The sequence below is a fragment of the Homo sapiens genome, chromosome 3 (assembly GCF_000001405.40).
Source record: "Homo sapiens chromosome 3, GRCh38.p14 Primary Assembly".
In the NCBI taxonomy this organism is placed as follows: Eukaryota; Metazoa; Chordata; class Mammalia; order Primates; family Hominidae; genus Homo; species Homo sapiens.
The window spans coordinates 160951483-160973637 of NC_000003.12; the positions used below are offsets into that span (position 1 = coordinate 160951483).

At 37.5% G+C, this 22155-nt stretch overlaps 1 protein-coding gene across 5 annotated transcripts in view; it reads left to right on the plus strand.

Moving 5' to 3' along the window:
* Positions 1-22155, plus strand: part of PPM1L (protein phosphatase, Mg2+/Mn2+ dependent 1L) — a 322672-nt gene that overhangs the window by 195252 nt on the left and 105265 nt on the right. For all 5 annotated transcript variants that reach the window (NR_134243.2, NM_139245.4, XM_011512440.4 and 2 more), the window contains one exon: positions 10254-10428. Coding sequence is in view for 4 of the 5 variants with exons in the window: in NM_139245.4 (NP_640338.2) it covers positions 10254-10428 (175 nt within the window). In the remaining variant the exon portion in view is untranslated. The remainder of the gene's footprint in view (positions 1-10253; positions 10429-22155) is intronic.

Consider the following 22155-nt stretch of genomic DNA (forward strand, 5'->3'; position numbering starts at 1 on the left):
ATAATTTGGCAAAATTATATTTTATTGCAATTACAGGGTAAGATCTAGAAAAGAGAGGTAAGTTATTTTTTATGTACAAAAACATCCATCTGCAATTAGGGAAGCCATCATACAGAAAGTGGGATTTGAGTGATATTTTCACACTCTGGCATGCTTGGTGCTACCACATGAATATAGTGTCAGATTGAATATGAATTAGATGACTGATAAAGTTATTTGAGGTTCGTCACATTAGGAATTCCAAAGGAATTGTCTGGGATAATCTGTAACTTAGTAGTCCATCACTTTAATGCTTAAATGGGAACTTTAGTCTTCATATTCAGCCGTTTAGATGATTTCAAGTCTTTCACACACTGAGTGTTATGCCCTCTGTGGTAGTCGCTTTACCACATGACTAGCATTTGCACGTCTGCAGCTTTGGCTCTCCAGAGCAATCTTAAATCTCTGTAATAGGTGTAAGATTTCATTTTTATGCTTCTGGTTTAAGCCTGGGACTTTTTCCTGATGCCATCTCTCTTGAAGGAATCACATTTGCCTTCTTGAGGCAGAATTATGAATTCAGGAGTGCAAGACGGTCATCTCAAAGACACTTTTCTTATTTGAATAACCTCTCCAGGTTAGAAGTGCCAAAGACTAAAAATGGCAAGAAATGACACTCTTGGCAGGCATGAGAGAAGAATAACTCCCTTGCCTTATGTTCTCTTCCTGGTGGGCAAGGGCACTCACTCTGACTTTATTTTAAAGTGCCTGGAGCCAAAGAGCAGCTGTCAAAAGTTAATGATATGTTACCGTAAGAAAGATGGATTCCAAGGTGAAACTAAGTAAATTAACGTGTGGTCTGTGTGCTGGCTGCTGCCAGATCAGCAAACACACATCCCCTTCTTTTCAAGGGCAGGGAAACCTTGCCTGCAATAAAATATTACTCCCTTCTCTCTTCTTTCTTGCTCTGGTGTGAATTTCGAAGGATTCCCATGATAATCTCTCCTGTATCTTGTGAATACCTTGTGATCATCCCTCGGTGACCATTTCCCTAAATTCAGCCCTTTTTCTACTCAGTATTTGCAGAATTGATTCTCATCTTACTTCCCTTGTATGTCTTCCTCAGTGCCAAAGTCTCCTCACAGGAGAGGGCCACTGATCAGATGTCCTTAAAGCCAGATCTAGCATCTTATTTAATGATTTATCAGTGTTTTAAAATTTATCAGTGTTAAATTTACTGTTGACATGAGTGCAAAGATCAGCCCTTTTGCTTTTGTCCCTTTTTTTCCAGCTTTAGAAGGCTGTGTCCATTCACAGTCAACACACATAACTGAAGCAGAAGCCCTGTGTGTTTTTTAGGCATATATGTGGTGTAAACATAAATTGAAAGGCAGTACCATCAATTATTTGTCCCATTCAGTTTAATGGAGCTTGAGGGTTTCTCTCTCTTTTCAGATTATAATTGTGTGTGTTCATGTGTATTAAATAAAATGGAGGGGGAAAGGTAATTTATAAAATTGTGAAATTTGAGGGGTATTAAAATTCTTAAACTTTTTATCTTGGCAAAGCACTCTGTAGACCATCCATAAGGCAAAAATCCCTTTTCTTCTTAAGATGCATGTCTGAGGTTTTGAAATCTTAAAATCTCAACTCTTGGTTTTTCAGTTACTTGGAAATTGGGTCTCTATATCAGGACCAACATTTACAACATACTTCATTACAAAGTTAATGATAAATCCATTTCTTGGTTTAAAAAATATCTTCTAAATAAGAATTTATTGAGTATAGAGGCACTTTCTTTTTGATTATCATTACCTAAAACTTCATAAAATTGCTTACTATTCACTAAGTCTTAGAATTGGTAATAAAATAGATTATTTGTTAAAAAGTGAAGGAACAAAAATGAAAAACTCACACAACCATGACATATGAATTATTAAGTAAAAATTATTATGTGATGAGGCATATTTTCATAGTTAAGGACATCAGAAGCCTGTTTTTATTTTAAGTCCACTAAAGGTCAAAATGAGTAACGTAACAAAATGAGTAAAGGAAATTGACCTTGACACTTTTTTTCCCAGAGAAATATACTAAAAGTGATTTGAAACATAGGTCTAGTTTACTTGTGATCTTTTTCTAATGGCGGTTCTATTAGAATTTAATTACATCACTTATTATCTCTTCTTGAAGAGAAGCTTTTTTGGCTCCCTGGAAACTTGCAAATAAGTTTAATACCTTTTCCTCACAGAGATTTTGGAGGGGTCATCGTGATGGTGGTGGATATTCCCTAAAATATGGAGAGATGAATAGTTTTCAGGCTTACTGTTAAATTTTCAAGAGTAAATTTAATATGTTGTGTAACTTTATTCAGTTTTCCCATTGCTTTTAACAGCTTTGCCCTCAGCTTTAGCTTCCAATTACGCAGCATTGAAGGCATGTTTTTCTTTCCCATCTGTTGGGAAGCTTTGCTCATGTGTTCTTTTGTTCTATTCTGGGTTTTATGCCAGCCTGGGGCTGCTTTACCTTGTAAAGAAGTGACCACAGTACGCATTGCCATCTTTGTAAAAAATTAATTTTTTTTTCTAATTTAAAAGCAATTTGTGTTTCCTGCTCCCATACTCACTGTATAACCGAGGATAAGTTTCTTAACCTCTCTGAGTCTGTTTCTTCATCTGTAAAAATCTGTTAGGGTTGTTGTAAGGATTACATACGCTAACACATTTAAAGCATTCAGCACAGTGCTGGCACATAGAAATATTGTTTTATTTTATAGAATTTGGAAAACTTTAGAGAGAAAAAATAAAAATCACCCCAATTTATATTACTCTGACATAACTAATGATATACATTAATTTAATTCACCCTTTTTTTTTTCCTCACACATGAGGTATACAAACTACTTTGTAATCTCCTTGTTTTTGAAAATGTCTCACCCTGTCACTCAGGCTGGAGTGCAATGGCGGCATCTCAGCTCACTGCAACCTCCACCTCCCGGGGCTCAAGCAGTCCACCCACCTCAGCCTCCTGAGTAGCTGGGACCACAGGTGCGTGCCATCACGCCTGGCTGTTTTTTTGTATTTTTAGTAGAGACAGGGTCTTGCCATGTTGCCCAGGCTGGTCTTGATCTCCTCAGCTCAAATGATCCGCCCACCTCAGCCTCCCAAAATCCTAGGATTACGGGAGTGAGCCACTGTGTCCGGACTTAATCTGCTTTTTATTATGAATATTTTCCTACATAATTTAGTACTCTTTTATAACACAATTTTTAATTGCTTATTCTGTTGATAGTTTCTTTTGCTGTGTGGAAACTCTGTAGTTTAATTAAGTCCCATTTGTCTATATTGTTGCTTTTGCCCTTAGGGTCTTCTTAATCAATTCTTTGTCTAGGCCAATGCTAGAAGAATATTTCCTAGGTTTTTGTTTTCCCTTTCTTTCTTCCTTCCTTCCTTCCTTCCTTCCTTCTTTCCTTCCTTCCTTCCTTCCTTCCTTCCTTCCTTCCTTTCCTTTCCTTTCCTTTCCTTTCCTTTCCCTCCCTCCCTCTCTCTTTCTTTCTCTCTTTCTTCTTTTTTTGACAGAGTATCACTCTGTCATCAGGCTGGAGTGCAATGGTGCGATCTCTGCTCACTGCAACCTCTGCCTTCCGGGTTCAAGCGATTCTCCTGCTTTAGCCTCCCGAGTAGCTGGGACTACAGGCATGCACCACCATGCCCAGCTAATTTTTGTATTTTTAGTAGAGACAGGGTTTCACCATGTTGGCCAGGATAGTCTCGATCTCTTGACCTCGTGATTACTGCCTGCCTCGGCCTCCCAAAGTGCTGTGATTACAGGTGTGAGCTACGGTGCCCAGCCTTCTTTTTTAAATTATTTTTTAAAATTGGTCTTTAAATTCTACCAGAATTATTTCCTGATTATTTTTCTGTGTTCCCTCCTATCTTAATTTCTCTCCCTAAAGGCTGTTTAGCACCTAACATAACTCATGCATTAAATAAATATATTAATTTATCTCGGGATTCATGCGTATTTTTGCATTACTTTGTAAAATGTGTTTTTCTAGTATTTCATGTGTGTTTTGTTTGCATATTAAAATTGCAGTTTCCTTTATGGTAAAGGCTTGTTTTCCCAACAGTTCAAGCCTAATATGTATTACTCAGCAGACAGTCAATAAATTAGAATTGGCTGGCTAACAAGTTTTCTTTTTTTTTTTTTTTTGAGACAGTCTCGCTCTGTCGCCCAGGTTGGAGTGCAGTGGTGCAATTTCGGCTCACTGCAAGCTCCGCCTCCTGGGTTCACGCCATTCTCCTGCCTCAGCCTCCCGAGTAGCTGGGACTACAGGTGCCCGCCACCACGTCCGGATAATTTTTTTTTTGTATTTTTAATAGAGACGGGGTTTCACCGTGTTAGCCAGGATGGTCTCCATCTCCTGACCTCATGATCCGCCCGCCTCAGCCTCCCAAAGTGCTGGGATTACAGGCGTGAGCCACCACGCTGGGCCGAGTTTTCTTTTTAAGATGAATTGTGAAACATTTAGCAGCTCTTGAAATATACTTTTGCACCACCCCACCTGAATTCTTTAATATGTATTAGTTCTTAAAGAATATACCATATAATAGTAAATAGTATTTTAGCCTAATGACCAGCATCAGCATTCTACCTACATTTCCAGAATTTAGGTTCTTAATCATTCTGCTTCTTTTCATTTATCCTTCTTACCCACTGAGTTCTTTTTATGGAGTTTACTGTAACCCTTTAATGTCTTCCAGACTAACGCTAGAATGGGTAATATAAATATATGTAAATTCTGTAAAAAGGCACATTCAGCACCTTTTATGCCCTGCCTTGTAAGTTTTTAGCTCATATTTTTACTCTAGCTGTTGCCGAAGTCATCATCTTTTCAGGTCTAACTGGAGGGAACCTGTGAACTTTTTTGCACTTTCTTCCCTAAGATTTCTCTTCAGCCATTTAGGATATGTCTGGCTAAACATAGAGCTGAAAGTCCAGGTGTAATTAACATCCTGCAAGGCAACCTTTAATTCAGGTGTACAGCTCTGATGTACATTGCACGTGATTCCTCAAAGGGTCCCTAGAAGAATCAGTCAACCCCATTGCCAAATGCAGAAATAAAGGCAAGAATGGAGAAGATCAAATGATTATGGAGAGGAAAGCATTAAATAAAGCCTCATACAGCTTTAAGTGTGAAACACATAATTTGCCATTTTGGCGTGTGAATTATGATTGGGTTTGAGCTGTTTACTTTTCTGAAATAATGGCATGAAAGAAAATTAAAGACCAAGAATAGTTCCATTTGCCAGTAGAAAACCAGACTTTTATTCTCTATCTGAAATTGTGAAAGGAAGATCTGTATGCAAGAAAGAATTAGGAACTGTCAAAACATTTTTTCCCAAGCTATCTGAAAGTACTTGATTTTTGCATAGTGTCAAAGTATTGAGCTTCTATGGTATAAAGCATTGAACCAGATGTGGGGGAACACAATAGTGTGTAAGATACAGTCCTTATTTCCACCAGTTGGAGGAGCTAAAGTACCTATACCTGTACAAATACAAAATAATTGGAAAGCTGTTGGATGCTCTTAGATGTTCAAGTTAGGTTAGGCAATACTAACAGTATATACATGGCATTTGAGCCAGACTTTGAAAGATATGAAGGATTGACTAAAACCAATAAGAGACCAGAGTATTTGGTTTTCTGTTCCTGTGTTACTTTGCTAAGGATAATGGCCTCCAGCTGCATCCATAAGCCTGCAAGGGACATGATCTCATTTTTTTATAGCTGCATAGTATTCCATGGTGAATGTGTACTACATTTTCTTAATCTAGTTTATCACTGATGGGCATTTAGGTTGATTCCATGTCTTTGCTATTGTGAATTGTGCTGCAATGAGCATATGCGAGCATGTGTCTTTATAATAAAATGATTTCTATTCCTTTGGGTATATACCCAGTAATGGGATTGCTGAGTCAAATGGTATTTCTGTCTTTAGGTCTTTGAGGAATCACCACACTGTCTTCCACAATGGCTGAACTAATTTACACTCCCACCAGCAGTGTAAAAGTCTTCCTTTTCCTCCACAACCTTGCTAGCATCTGTTATTATTTGACTTTTTTTTTTTTTTTTTTGAGACGGAGTGTCGCTCTGTCGCCCAGGCTGGAGTGCAGTGGTGCAATGGCGGCTCACTGCAAGCTCCGCCTCCCAGGTTCACCCATTCTCCTGCCTCGGCCTCCCAAGTAGCTGGGACTACAGGTGCCCGTCACCACGCCTGGCTAATTTTTTGTATTTTTAGTAGAGACGGGGTTTCACCATGTTAGCCAGGATGGTCTTGATCTCCTGACCTTGTGATCCGCCCGCCTCAGCCTCCTAAAGTGCTGGGATTACAGGCGTGAGCCACTGCGGCCGGCCTCTCGTTGTGTTTTAATTTGCATTTCTCTAATGATCAGTGATGTTGAGCTTTTTTTCATGATTGTTGGCTGCATGTATGTGTTCTTTTGAAAAGTATCTGTTCGTGTCCTTTGCCCACTTTTTTATGGGGTTGTCTTTTTCTTGTAAATTTGTTTAAATTCCTTATAGACGTTGAATATTAGACCTTTGTCAGGTGCAGAATTTTCAAAAATGTTCTCCAGTTCTGTAGGTTGTCTGTTTACTCTGATGATGGTTTCTTTTGCTGTGCAGAAGCTCTTTAGATTAATTAGATCCTATTTGTCAATTTTTGCTTTTTTTGCAATTGCTTTTGGTGTCTTCAGCATGAAATCTTTGGCCATGCCTATGTCCTGAATGGTGTTGCCTAGGTTATCTTCCAGGGTTTTTATAGTTTTGAGTTTTACATTAAAGTCTTTAATCCATCTCGAGTTAATTTTTGTATATTGTGTAAGGAAGGGGTCCAGTTTCAATCTTCTGCATATGGCTAGCCAGGAATCCCATGGTGTGCTTTCAATAATATAGAGTACATCAATATTTGTAAAATGTGAATTATGGAACTATTTCCTGTACCTCATAGGCATTTCAAGGAAAAAAATTAATGACAGATATTACACTGAGTAACAAGGTAGTGTGAGTTTAAAAACAGTTATTGTGCAGTGTGTCTCTTCATTTTCCAGTGTCAGGGAAAAAATGTTATTAAATTTTACAATTATATATGTTGCACAAATGTGCTGAGTCCATTTACATTTTATGGAATAATTTCATTTGTTCTGCACTAGCTGGCTGGCAGAGAAATTGAACAATGTTTGGTGATGTTAAAGTTGTAATTTTGTCAGCAACAGAGTTAGGAAATATAAATATAAATCTGGAACTAAAACGTGTTGTGTTACCTTTGGCTACTCTAGGGGATAAAATATAACTTTTCACCACCACTTCCCAGTGGACTTTTCCTGGGAAGTCAGTTGTCATTGTTCTGGCAAGTTTCTTTTCATCCTAAATTTTGTTATCATTTAAAGAGAAAATCATGAAGGTTATAAAGAAATCCATTTTAGGGTATCTACCCAAAGGAAAATAAGTTATTATATAAAAAAGACACGTGCATGTGCATGTGTATAGCAGCACAATTCACAATTGCAAAAATGTGGAACCAACCTAAATGCCCACCAACCAACAAGTGGATAAAGAAAATGTGTTGTATATACACCATGGTATGCTACTCAGCCATAAAACAGAATGAAATAATGGCATTTGCAGCAATTTAGATGGCGTTGGAGACCGTTGTTCTATGTGAAGTAACTCAGAAATGGAAAACCAAATATCATAAATTCTCACTTATAAGCGAGAGCTAAGCTATGAGGATGCAAAGGCATAAGAATGATATAATGGACTTTGGGGACATAAGGGGGAGGGTGGGAAGGGGATGAGGGATAAAAGACTAAATATTGGGTACAGTGTACACTGCTCCAGTGATGGGTGCACCAAAATCTCAGAAATCACCACTAAAGAACTTACTTATATAACCAAAAACCACCTGTTCCCCAAAAACTACTGAAATAAAATTTTTAAAAACCAAATACACTTTAAAGACAATTTTAAAAAATTACAATAGTAAGAACATGGAAACAATACAAAAATGTGGAATGTAGAAAGTATTGTCTGTGCGTGGTTGCTCACGCCTGTAATCTCAGCTTTTTCGGAGGCTGAGGCGGGTGCATCACCTGAGGTCAGGAGTTCAAGACCAGCCTGGCCAACATGGTAAAACCCCGTCTCTACTAATAATACAAAAAAAATTAGCCGGGCATGGTGGCAGGCACTTGTAGTCCTAGCTACTCAGGAGGCTGAGGCAGGAGAATCGTTTGAACCCAGGAGGTGGAGGTTGCAGTGAGCCGAGATCATGCCATTGCACTCCAGCCTGGGCAACAAGAGTGAAACTCAGTCTCAAAAAAATAAAAATAAAAAAATAAAGTGTCTTCCACAGTTGGAGTATATTCTTTCATACCTTCTCCTATGCCTATATGATAATGCTAAATACACTATATATATATGTGTTGCTTAATTATGCTCATATATATGTATATATATGTTGTAGGATATACTGTACCTGATATTCTGTGACTTTGATTTTTAACCTCAACAATATATTATGGTATTCTTCCTGGTCAGTACATATAGTCCTATCTCATTTTTTCCAAAGGCTATAGAGGATACTACTCTATAAATGAAAAAAACTGAACCTCTGTTGATTAGCGTGTATCATATATATATATATATCAGTATGTATGTTTAATGCATACTTATTTTAAGTTGTACAATTAATAGCTGTACAGAATTTTAAAAACTGATACATTGTAACTTTACATATTTATGAGGTACAGTTTGATGTTTCAATACATGTATATCTTATATAGTGTTCAAATCAAGGTAGTTAGCATATCCCTTACCTCATTCATTTATAATTTAGTTATGTTGGGAACATTCAAAAACCTTTATTCTAGCTATTTTGTAATATACGACACCTTACTGATAACCATAGTCACCCTACTGTGCAACAGAACACTATGGGTTTTTCTTTTTTCTATGTAGATGTGTCTTTGCCTTATTCTAAGCAAAGATTGCCCCAGATACCATCTTTTTGTTTGTTTGTTTGTTCGTTTTTTAGCAGTTTTGTGTGTGTGTGTGTGTGTGTGTGTGTGTGTGTGTGTGTGTGTGAAGTTTTATACTGGTTATGAATATAATTTTGAACAATATATGGTGGACTTCATTGATTGATTTATTAACCTTAGACACTATGTGAGTAAAGCAGGACTGCACTGCAAGGAGATGCTAAACTTTTGACATTCCTGAGAGAGAAGTTTTATAAATTTCAGAATTCCCCTGATTTATGCATGCCTCTCTGTCACTTAATTATGCTCATAAAATTCTGCTTAACTAGCAATGGGATTCTCAACTTGGAGAGAAAAGAGTATGCTACCACTGCAGCCTACCAGAAGAACATATCAGAATCTTTGGGAAAATCTTTTCAAAATATGCATATCTTCCTTCCTACCCCCATGTGGAACGTGCTTACCTGATTGAAAATCACTGCATGTAATTAGTTGTTACTAATTGGAATGTAACTATTTGGGAGTGTGTTGTACAGATAGTGTAAAAACAAAAAACAAACAGCAACAACAACAACAACAAACTTGTCAAAGTAAGAATTATATATATGTAAGCTTTAAGGCATTTAAGTGGTGAAGAGGTTTGGTTTTGTTTGTTTGTTTGTTTGTTTGTTTGTTTTGCCCCAGGTTAAGGGGCATTGTCTTAAATCTCCTCATTTTCTGTTTATCCCATTATTTCATTATCAGCCCTAGCAGAGGACTCTCCTTTATAAAATTCACTTTACAAGAGTTCTTATGTAAACATTAATGAGTAGAGACTAATAAAACAAAGTAGGGATGTGGATGCCGTAGCATGGATGGGGTCATTGCTGAGATGAGTGACTGTCTTCTGCATTGTAGACAAGGGCAAGTCAAATTTGTATCCAGCAAAATCACTGTCAGGGGCCTTCAGTTCACTATAATAGTTGAAACTCTGAGCACTAAATCTGCGAATATCTAACCAAGTCTATCATCTTTTATACCTTTAAACCTAGTAGAAAACTCTTAGAGGTCTGTGATTCTATTTGAAGATCACCTTACTGGGTCCAGTGGATACTAAAAATGACGATGACAAGGACATGCTTGTCTGGAGGGTTGGTTTCACAGTGCTTTGAGCTTTCTCTATAGCACCTGAGGGTAAGTAAAAAGTCTAAGGGGAGAATTTCTAATGGAGTTCTCTCTCTCTGACTGTTTTATCTGCAGACTGCAGCTGAATATGTAAAATCTCGACTCCCAGAGGCCCTTAAACAGCATCTTCAGGACTACGAGAAAGACAAAGAAAATAGTGTATTATCTTACCAGACCATCCTTGAACAGCAGATTTTGTCAATTGACCGAGAAATGCTAGAAAAATTGACTGTATCCTATGATGAAGCAGGTATGTTTGTTTTTAAAACACACATTTTTTTTCCTTGCAAAAAAAATTCATTATAAACCTTGATTAAACTTGGTAAAAGGTTAAGGGCAAACTAGATTCAAAGTTATGTAACATGGACTAATAGTAAGTTTCTTCTCTGCAGTTTTAGTCTCAAGATGGTCAGAAGATTCCTAAAAATGGATCTTAAATATCAAATGCCTTTAAAATTTTGCTGTTTTTTATTGGGATTTTTTTGGCCTTTTATTAACTGGGTACTCCTAAAGTGTTATTTCAACTTTGGATAGCAACTGAAAACTTTTACATCCGAGAATCCAAGAAATGTTATTCGATTCAAATATTTGTGTTAATATTAGATATTTTCTTTTCTAAAGAGGTATTTTTTTTTCTCAAACTGTTAAGCTAATCATTGCTTTCTTTTCCTTAGCAACTCAGACACTACCACATCAGAGACTTCATCTCACTGCCTGCCATAGGTTCTTCCCATCCAAGGGAGCTTATTAATGAAGTCATGGACAGAACTCCTTATAACATTATTTTAATCTATTATATGGTCTGTCAGCTAAGACCCAATTTTAATGAAATTAGTGTAGTATTACTTGGAATTATGAAAATCTTTAATAAAATTAAACTTAAGCAGCAGAAATACCCTGATTAAAATTGCTATACCTCTCCACCTCCCCCTCTCAAAAAAATTGGAGAAAAAGTACAGGAAAAAAGGTTTCTAATGGTCAAATGTTAATGGTATTAATTCTTATATTAATGCCAAGAACTTCTGCTTCTATTTTTACAAGTATTTTTTAGCATGCATCTTATTTTCTTCATCAGAATCTATGCATGCTCGATACTTTCTTACCATTTGATTTCAAGTTCAAATAGCAAACAGAAGAGCAAATAAACAAAACAAAACATTATACTACATTCACCTAACCACTTAAACAATATTTCTAGTTACTAAGCTGCCCCCATGTATATTCCACCCTCTAACCCCTTCACCTCCCTCTCAAGCAGGATCTGTATTTCCAGTTTTGCCCAGGACATCTCTGCTTTCTCTTATTCTTCTTTGCTTTTTTTTTTGTTTTCCAGACACATTGGCTTTCTTCTGCCTAGCATTTTTGTTACTTTCAATATTCTTCTCATTGGAATTCTTATTCATCTCTTCTCTCATCCTTAATGGAATAAAGTTAGGTTTTGATCAGTCCCAACCAAAATAATATTTAAATATTCATAGCATCTTATAGATCATAGAACTCATATAGTCCGCCCACTTCTTGCCCCTGTGACCATTTTATGGTGAGAAAACAAACTCATAGACTTGCCTGAAATAATGCAGTTACTTACTTGTAAAACTGGGACGCCAACTTCCTAATTACTAATCAAGCTATGCTTTTACTACACTAATGCAGGTTCTCATTTGCTCAGTAAGCAATTGTTGAATGCACGGCAATATACTAGGTTGTTGAAGGAAAGAGAAAAGCAGTGAAAACATGAAAAGGAATCTGAGATGTAGAAAATAGATCTTGCAGAAAGTCTTGCTGGAGGACTAAAACATACATGTATGAGCTTTAGAGAAAAATTTCTGAGGAATTTGGGACTAAATACACCCTGTAATATCTTCGCGTTATTAAAGTTAAGATGAAATGTGGAGCCAAGAAATAGTGGAAATGGCTGAAATTTTCCATGAAATTCTGTAGAGGGGGCATTATTTTAAACCTTGAAGGACAAATGGTGGGCATGTATTTGTGAAGAGAAGGGGGATGCATTCTAGTGGATGAAGGGGCACAAGTAGACATCAAGGTGAGCATGAACATTAGCTGCAATCACCCACCACTCAATTTTTTCCTGCTTCAGACATAATTTTCCACTCTCCTGCACTGTTGTTGAGCAGCAACAGATCCTCAGAGGTAGGCTTGCACATGGCTTTTAGGGGCAAATAGTTTGGCATAGAATTAATCTGTCAATAAGCCCTGTAGCATGAAACAGTAGAAATAAACACAAGATTGAGAGTTAGAGGATCTAAGGTCTAGGCCTTCCACCAGGTTAATACTGGTGTGATCTTCAGCAAATTAACCTCTTAGAACCTATGTTTCTTCATCTGTAAAATTGGGCTAATATAATCTCACATGATAATAATAAAATATTATCATGTTTGGGGAAGTCCTTAGAGATCATATTGCAAATGCTAGTTAATGCCACTAGTGATGAATGAGAACAGATTTGGACCTTGTCTATCCCTTAAACCAGTGTAAAGTACAGCTGACCCTTGCACAACATGGGGGTTAGGGATGCCAACTCTCTGTGCAGTCTAAAATTAGCATAAAACGTTTGATTCCCCAAAAATCTTAACTACTAATAGCCTATTGTTGACCAGAAGCCTTACTGATTACATAAACAGTCAATCAACACATATTTTGTATGTTATGTGTATTTATACTGTATTCTTAAGACTAAGCTAGAGAAAAAAATTTATGAAAATCATAAAAAAGAAAAAATATATTTACTGTATTAAATGGAAGTGGACCATCATAAAGGTCTTCATCCTCATTGTCTTTACTTTGAGTAGGCTGAACAGACTGCTGAAGAGGAGAGGAGGAGCTGGTCTTGCTGTCTCAGGGGTGTCAGAGACAGAAGAAAGTGCACATATAAATGGACCCATGCAGTTAAACCTCTGTTGTTTAAGGGTCAGCCGTATTCTAACTTAGTCTTTTCGTGGCATACAGTGTTTGGGAAGGCAGAGGGGAAGTTTTTAAAGTGATCTTCAGCAGCTTTGAAAAGTCTAGCAACATCTATTTGATAAAACACCCGCTCTGAGCTCAGTTTGCCTTTGCTCATCTCTGCATGAGGTGATGCAGGACAGTGGATGTGGGAGGGTAGGCTATGTGTATGCATGAGTGAATGAGTGTTGCTGTGTGTTGCAAAACCAAAAGTTACTACCTCCTCCTCCATAACCCATACGTTAATTATTTCAATCAAAGAAAGAGGATAAAATAAGAAAAAACATTACTATTTAGCAGAAAAATATAATAATACAAAAGAATTAGGATAGAAAATTGGTAGTAGTAGGCTGGTTGCAGCGGCTCACGCCTGTAATCCCAGCACTTTGGGAGGCCGAGGTGGGCGGATCATGAGGTCAGGAGATGGAGACCATACTGGCTAACATGGTGAAACCCCATCTCTACTAAAAATACAAAAAATTAGCCGGGCGTGGTGGTGGGCGCCTGTAGTCCCAGCTACTCGGGAGGCTGAGGCAGGAGAATGGCGTGAACCCAGGAGGCGGAGCTTGCAGTGAGCCGAGATCGCGCCACTGCACTCAAGCCTGGGCGACAGAGCCTCCATCTCAAAAAAAAAAAGAAAAAAGAAAATTGCTAGTAGTATCCAATATGTGCAGATGTAACCATCCTACACAGAAGCTTCCTGACTTCAGATGGTTTAATTTAGTACTTTTTGACTTTATGATGGTGCAAAAGTGATACACATTCAGTAAAATCTGTACTTCACATACACCCATTCTGTTTTTCATTTTCAGTATAGTATTCACTAAATTACATGAGATTCAACACTTTATTCCCTTTATTATAAAATAGACTTTGTGTTAGATGACTTTGTCCAACTACAGGCTAATGTAAGTGTTCCGAGCATATATAAGTTAGGCTAAACTAAGCTATGATGTTCAGTAGGTTAGGTGTATTAAATGAATTTTCACCTTAGGATATTTTCAATTTACAGTGGGTTTATCAGGATGTAATCTCATTCTAAGTCGAGGAGCATCTGCACTAACATGCTCATTTGCTTCAACTGTTTAGCTTCTTTCTATTCTATCTTAGTTTTGACTTCCTCACATTCTTGATTCAGCTCTCCCAGTTTTAGGAGGTAGTTAATTATTAGTTAGAAGATATCTTGGTCTCTAGAGAGGTTAATTTGTCTTTAATGCTCCTTCACTGATAAATCAGCCTGAGTGACTTAATGACAATTACTGCTATTTGTAGCGTCTAAACTTCTATTAATAAAAAAACAATTAATGAAAAAAACACTTAGACATTTTTCTAAAATCATTGCCTCAGAATTTTTTCACCCTCTCCTTTTTCTCTTTCTCTCTCTCTTCCCCTTTAATACATATATACCTTAATGCCTTGCCTATCCATGAATTCAGCTATCTAGCAACCTGGAATTCAGCAAAGAAATGGGAAGTGAGCAAAAACCATGTGTGTGCAACCCTACCGTGTCACAGAACTGTGGACAAGTCCATACAACAGAGGCTTTCAGTTCTCACCTAGAATCTATATATTTTTATTTTATATAGTTCTGACTCATTAGGTTATATTTTCCAATGTGGTATTTCCTTTTATAAAATTATCTGACTTAAAATGTTATACTTTAATTGCAGAAATGAACAGAAATATGTAGAACAGTATAATATGAGAATAATAATTGTCAGTAATCTTACTATTGTAAACACTTTGGTATATTTTCCTCACTCTAAGCATTTTAAAAATGTAGTTGATATCTGGTAGTTTTATTGTGATTTTATATCCTGCTTTTTGCATTTAACATTATTACATAAGCACTTCCTTATTTCATTAAAGCCTCTTCATGTGAAGATAATTTTAATGGCTACATCATATTCTATTTGAAAGTACCACTCACTAAATATTCTCTTATGTTGGACATTTTCATTTTTGTTTTGCTCTTATGAATAATGCTGCAAGAAATATGGGATTCATTTGTCTGCATTTTATATTACTCTAGAGGATAGACTTCAGAAAACATAAGAGTTTAGAATTGAAATGAGAAGGTGGGGAAGGGGATGATACTTGGAGCAGCATCACTGAAAACAGTAAGTAGTGAGAGCAAAGAGTAAATCCATAAAAAGCACTTAGCAGATTCCTGACATTGCACTACACTCAAAGTCACATTAGCATTCACAGACTGTGAGTTCACATTGTTGAACTTCACAATAGTGACTTGATTCACAGAGAAAAGGTTCAATAATGTTTTTTATATTCTGTATATAAAAGCAGGAATTATGTAAACCAGTGTATTAATCCAGTCAGCCTGTGATATGGTTTGGCTGTGTCCCCACTCAAATCTCATCTTGAATTGTAGCTCCCATAATCCCCATGTGTCATAGGAGGGACCAGGTGGGAGGTAATTGAATCATGGGGGTGGGTTTTTCCTGTGCTGTTTTTGTGGTAGTGAATAAATCACACAAGATCTGATGGTTTTATAAAGGGAAGTTCCCCTGCACATGCTCTTCTCGTATGCCACCATGTAAGACATGCCTTTGCTCCTCTTTCACCTTCTGCTATGATTGTGAGGCCTCCTCAGCCATGTGGAACTGTGAATCCATTAAACCTCTTTTTCTTTATAATTACCCAGTCTTGGGTATTTCTTCATAGCAGTATGAAAATGGACTAATACACCCTGCTTTAACAAAATACCATAGACTGGGTGGCTGATAAACTACAGAACTTTATTTCTCACAGTTCTGTAGGCTGTGAGGTCCAAGGTCAAGGCACCAGCAGATATGGTGTCTATAAGGGCCTGGTTCCTCATAGATGGTTGTCTTTTCACTGTAACCTTACATGGCAGGAGGGCTGAGAGATTTATCTGGGGCCTCTTTTATAAGGGCACTAATTCCATTCACGAGGGGTTCACCCCTTTGATCTAATCAGCATCCCCCACCTCATAATACCATCACCATGAGGATTAGTTTTCAACATATGAATTTTGGGAGGACACAAACATTTAGACCCCCTTTCTAACATTAGTTTAGAAAGTTTTTCATTCAAATGGTTTATATTTTGATAATTTCAAGAACTGATATGTTTTGTGGTATAGTTGAAAGAAAACTTGGAACCAAAAGATCCAGATTCTATTTCTAGTCTAGCTCTACTGCCAACCATATACGTGACCTTGAGCAAGTCACAAACCTTCCTAAAGCCCATTTTCCTATAAACTGATGGCATGAACAGGACCTCATAGATGTCTTCTAGTTCTAAAACTATGCTTTGGGTCTTATGACAATGGAACACTCAAATAGCTATAATATCTGCAAGGCTTCCTGTAGCTATGGCTTTTCTGCTTTTTCTATTTGTTTTCTTCTTTCTCCTTACACAGCCACATAATTTGTACCTAATTTCTGACCAAAAGAAGACCATCACTCAGCTTTCATAGCATCTGCTCATGAATATTCCCAGGCATATTTTTATTGGTGGGATGGGGAGTGAGACTGTATGAGTCAAGCAAAAGTAGATTTTGGAATAAGAGGTTCTAAGCTATCATTCATGGATCCTCATTAAGATAGTTTAGACCTTTTATTGTATTAGCATGTATTAATACTAAGCAAAATCCAGAGTAACAAGTAAGGTGTGGTTTATATTTGATCTATTAATGTTTTTATTTAATTGAAGTACAAGTTTTCGTACACTTCAGTAGATTGGGTTTAACACAGAGAAGTTTTCAAGGAAAGCAATGGCATAATTTGAGATGAAGAGATCAAAATAGCATTTTACACTGTCCAAAGCATCATCAACCTAAATATTTATTATGTGTCATAGTGGGCAAAAGTCAAAGGGTTAAAATACCAAGAGAGGGAATCTTTCCTCATATTTATTTTTATGCTGGAGTATTATTTATGTTTCTGTAGCTAATCTCAAATTCTGTTTTTAATTATTTTTGAGTTTGGGCATGAATAAATATTCCCTACATATTCCTTTGTTAAGGATATGGTTTGTAATGCCATGTGTTTGAGGGAATTATGAGGAGAGTAGGCCCATTTATTTGAGAGTGATATTTTCTGTCACAGGCTCAAGAACCCTAAGCCATGGGAGCGGAAGTCTGGAAACAGGAGTGAAGAGCTGCATATTTTTCCCTTTGGGAAAAGCTGAGTACACCTGCAATGGGTAGAATGCTCAATGGTAGCATCTTGTTGCAGGCCTCAAGATAGTTGCCTAAGCTGCTGCTTAGATCTCCTTCTCAGAGTTCTCAGACCAGCAAGGGCTTTCTGTTCTTACAGTTTGGCTAGAAACCTATACAGCCTTCCAATGAGCACATGCTTCTGCAATGTGGAAAATGCACTTACGCGTAGAAAGTGAACCAGATGGTGCACATGAGGGAAGAAGAGAGCTCAGCTGGCTGTTTCTTGTGTTCCTTTGGGTATCAGAGTTGGGAGCCTGCATATTCATTTATAAGTGTCAGGCAGTCACATACAGCTTTCCCAGAGGAGGTGAGAAAGGAGGAGCAGCATTAATTTCTCAGCTTTTGCTTTATGATTCCCTGATGTAGCTCTACCTGCAGGTGAAAGCTACCTGTGGTGAAGACACACCAAGCACTATAATTTTTGGAAAAATAGCTTTTTAAAAGCGTGGAGGAATGTGCTCTAAGCAGCTTAGGAAGTAGCTGGAGGGTTACCTCCTATTGAGCTGATTTTATTCTTCTTAAAATAGATGGTGCCTGAAAGTTACATCTACATTTTAATTGGGACATTAGTGTCATAGTAATCAGTAATCTCAAAAGAAAGGCCATTTACTGTCATGGGGGAAAAAATTGAACATACATCCAGCAACCAAACCCAGGAAAGAGTGTGTTGAATTATTTAGGGACTTTCCAGGTTTTCTAAGAACATAAAAAATCTAGTAAAAGGCATTTGCAGGAAGTTCTTCACTCCAACAAATAGAGTGAATTTCTCAGTATATTTCTCAAACAGCTCCTAAGGGAAGAGGTGACACTAAGGTTTCCTTACTTTATATCTTCAATCAGGACCCCATTTCTTAGCTCAAAAGATACCCTCTCCAGGGACTTGTTGACAAGAATTGGAGAATTTGGAAGGAAGACAAAAACAGAGACCCAAAAGAAACTAATAAAGGGAAGTTCAATATTGACTGTGCAACCTCTGACACCAACTTCTTATTTTCTGTAGAAAGATTTAATCTATTTTATTTTTCCATTATAAAACTAAATAAATATACTTTAGAACATTTTTTAAACGTGGAAAAAGGAAGAGAAAAAGATAATCTTTAATTCTACTACCTAAACATAATCAACATCTTTGGTGTATTTATTTCTTGCCATTTTTCTCTGCTGAGTTTTAATTATTTATGCCAAATTTTATATCTTTTTTATTTAACATTTTTAATCATATTTTATGCTGTTATAAACTACCTATAAAGGTCACTTGTAATAACTGCAGTACTCTATTGAGTGGATATACCACAGTTATTCTCACAACCTTTTAATATTTTTAATATGGTTCCTGTCTTGTATCCATGTTTCAGTTCTCTTTACCACATAGAATCCCAGAATTTGGTGGTCTGTTTCTTATCTGTGAAAAAAATGAGAATGGTAGTATGAATAACAAAAACATAAGGCTTTTGTAATGCAGACGATTACTAGCCATGTATAATAACAGTAGGAAGAGGGGAGTAAAATGGGTACTCAAAATCCACTTATAAACTGAGAACTTATTTCTGGCGATAATATTAAATTTGTTTTTGAGGCTACGTAGGTGACTAATTTATCAATCTTTTTAACCAAGCTGAATATTTTTTTTTTTTTTTTTTTTGAGATGGAGTGTCACTTTGTTGCCCAGGCTGGAGTGCAGTGGCGCAATCTTGGCTCACTGCAACCTCCGCCTCCTGGGTTCAAGCAATTCTCGTGCATCAGCCTCCCAAGTAGCTGGGACTACAGGCATGTGCAACCACGCCCAGCTAATTTCTTTACTTTTTATTTTTTTGGTAGAGATGGGGTTTCACCATGTTTGCCAGTTGGTCTCAAAGTCCTGACCTCAAGTGATTCACCCACCTTAGCCTCCCAAAGTGCTGGGATTACAGGTGTGTGCTATTGCACCTGGCCTAACCAAGCTGATTTTAATTTCAGTTATAATTTTTTTTTTTTTTTTTTTTTTGAGACGGAGTCTCGCTGTCGCCCAGGCTGGAGTGCAGTGGCGCAATCTCGGCTCACTGCAGGCTCCGCCCCCTGGGGTTCACGCCATTCTCCTGCCTCAGCCTCCCGAGTAGCTGGGACTACAGGCGCCCGCCACCTCGCCCGGCTAATTTTTTGTATTTTTAGTAGAGACGGGGTTTCACCCTGTTAGCTCAGTTATAATTCTTACACTTTCCATTTAGACTGTGGATTTTAAAAGCCAAATTATCTTTTGGTGATGGGGAGCAGTAACTAAACAAAGTGACTTTGACATCTACAAAATAGAAAACTATTGGCCATAGTTGTTTGAAAGTACCGAAACATGTAATTTACAAGCCCCAGCCTAGGTTTTTGTCTATGGTGGGACGTTGCATCTCTCTGCATGGTTTCTTCAACTGTAAAATAAAGGTATTGGATTAGATATTTTCTTAAATCTCTTCCAGTCGTAACAATGTGTGATTTTTGTCTGTTTATTTAACAGTTATTGGTTCATTCATTTATTCACTCTGTAAACACTGACTGAATGAGCATCTTTGAGCCAGACACAGTACCCACCACTAGAAATGCTCAGATGACCACGTGGCCCTTAACTCCAGGTGCACAGTGTGTGCATTTGTATGTGTGCTCATGTGGGAGGGCAGAGAGATAGCCAGTAAAAACAGACAACTAGAGTGTAGTGGAATTGGTGTTATAGGGGACGGTAGATGTGCAGAGGAGGAAGAAATTAGGTTTGGAATTGGTAAAGAGTTCTTAAATCAGAAAATCATGAGAGAACCCGTAAATCTTGTGAACTGTTCATGTTGAACTTTACTGCCAGTTGCGTTTTTAAAGACAGGCTTTGAATAATGCCTTGTTTTCTTCTTTGCTTCTGTAACTGTGGTTATATGTTGGTGCCTTATACAGACCAATTCTTGCCTTCTGCCATGGCAACACCTACCACATTCTTTTTTTTATTGAGACAGGGTCTCACCCTGTTGCCCAGGCTGGAGTGCCGTGGCATGATCTTAGCTCTCTGCAACCTTGAACTCCTGGGCTCAAGGGACTCTCCAGCCTCAGCCTCCAGAGTAGCTGATACTACAGGTTTACACCACCATGGCTAATTGTTATTTGTAAAATTTTTCTGTAGAGACGGGTTCTTACTGTGTTGTCCAGGCTGGTCTCAAACTCCTGGCCTCAAGTGATCCTCCCACCTTGGCCTGTTAAAGTCCTGGAATTACAGGAATGAGCCACCACTCACAGACTCACCACCACATTCTAACTGCAGCTCTCCAACTGATATTAATTAGTTTATTTTAGTTTATATTAATATGCTATCAGCATTGCCTGTTTGCTTATGATTCCTCCAATGTAGAAAAAATGATAATTCAGACTTAATCTTTTTTTTTATTATACTTTAAGTTTTAGGGTACATGTGCACAACGTGCAGGTTTGTTACATATGTATACATGTGCCATGTTGGTGTGCTGCACCCATTAGCTCGTCATTTAACATTAGGTATATCTCCTAATGCTATCCCTCTCCCCTCCCCCCACCCCACAACAGTCCCCAGTGTGTGATGTTCCCCTTCCTGTGTCCATGTGTTCTCATTGTTCATTTCCCACCTATGAGTGAGAACATGAGGTGTTTGGTTTTTTGTCCTTGCGATAGTTTGCTGAGAATAATGGTTTCCAGCTTCATCCATGTCCCTACAAAGGACATGAACTCATCATTTTTTATGGCTGCATAGCATTCCATGGTGTATATGTGCCACATTTTCTTAATCCAGTCTATCATCATTGGACATTTGGGTTGGTTCAAAGTCTTTGCTATTGTGAATAATGCTGCAATAAACATACATGTGCATGTGTCTTTATAGCAGCATGATTTATAATCCTTTGGGTATATACCCAGTAATGGGATGGCTGGGTCAAATGGTATTTCTAGTTCTAGATCCCTGAGGAATCGCCACACTGACTTCCACAATGGTTGAACTAGTTTACAGTCCCACCAACAGTGTAAAAGTGTTCCTATTTCTCCACATCCTCTCCAGCACCTGTTGTTTCCTGACTTTTTAATGATCGCCATTGTAACTGGTGTGAGATGGTATCTCACTGTGGTTTTGATTTGCATTTCTCTGATGGCCAGTGATGATGAGCATTTTTTCATGTGTTTTTTGGCTGCATAAATGTTCTTGTAAAAGTGGTATGATAGGAAGGTATTTTAAAAAATCACATTCCCCAACTTCATCTTACCTTTCTAATAGAACACCTCATATCCACTCTGAAAATACATTGATCTAAATTTTATGGTGGGCAAAATTTTAAAGAACTTTGCTGAGAAAACCAGAAACCACAAAGGAACACTGATATTTAGAATCAGGAAGTGCCATCTCTAGTGATTAAAACATTTGGACTGGAGCTGTATTTATCTTTTTAATCAAGTTGTCCTTGTTTGCCACAAGGGAAGTAGTGTTACTTCCTGTCTCTGAAGTAGTATTTGATTACAAGGACTAAAGGAAATGTGTATACTTCAAAGAAAATAATTGGACCAGGTGGTCATACTTTAGAGTACATTAGCTATCCAGAGACAAGATGCCAATGCCATCGGTATCTCTTCCTTTCTGTACTATCGGGATTGTGTAAACAAGATTTTATAGACCTTGTTAGAATGTTTGTAATAAATTTTAATGACATACACATTAATGGTAAGACCTTCAGTTTATAGAGAAAAATAAAATAGTTTTTAAAGTGCCAGGATTTCTAATGTATTGTGATGGTCCATTTGTAGTAGTGAGAGGTAGGTAAAATGCATCCTTGGTTGACTCTCAGACTC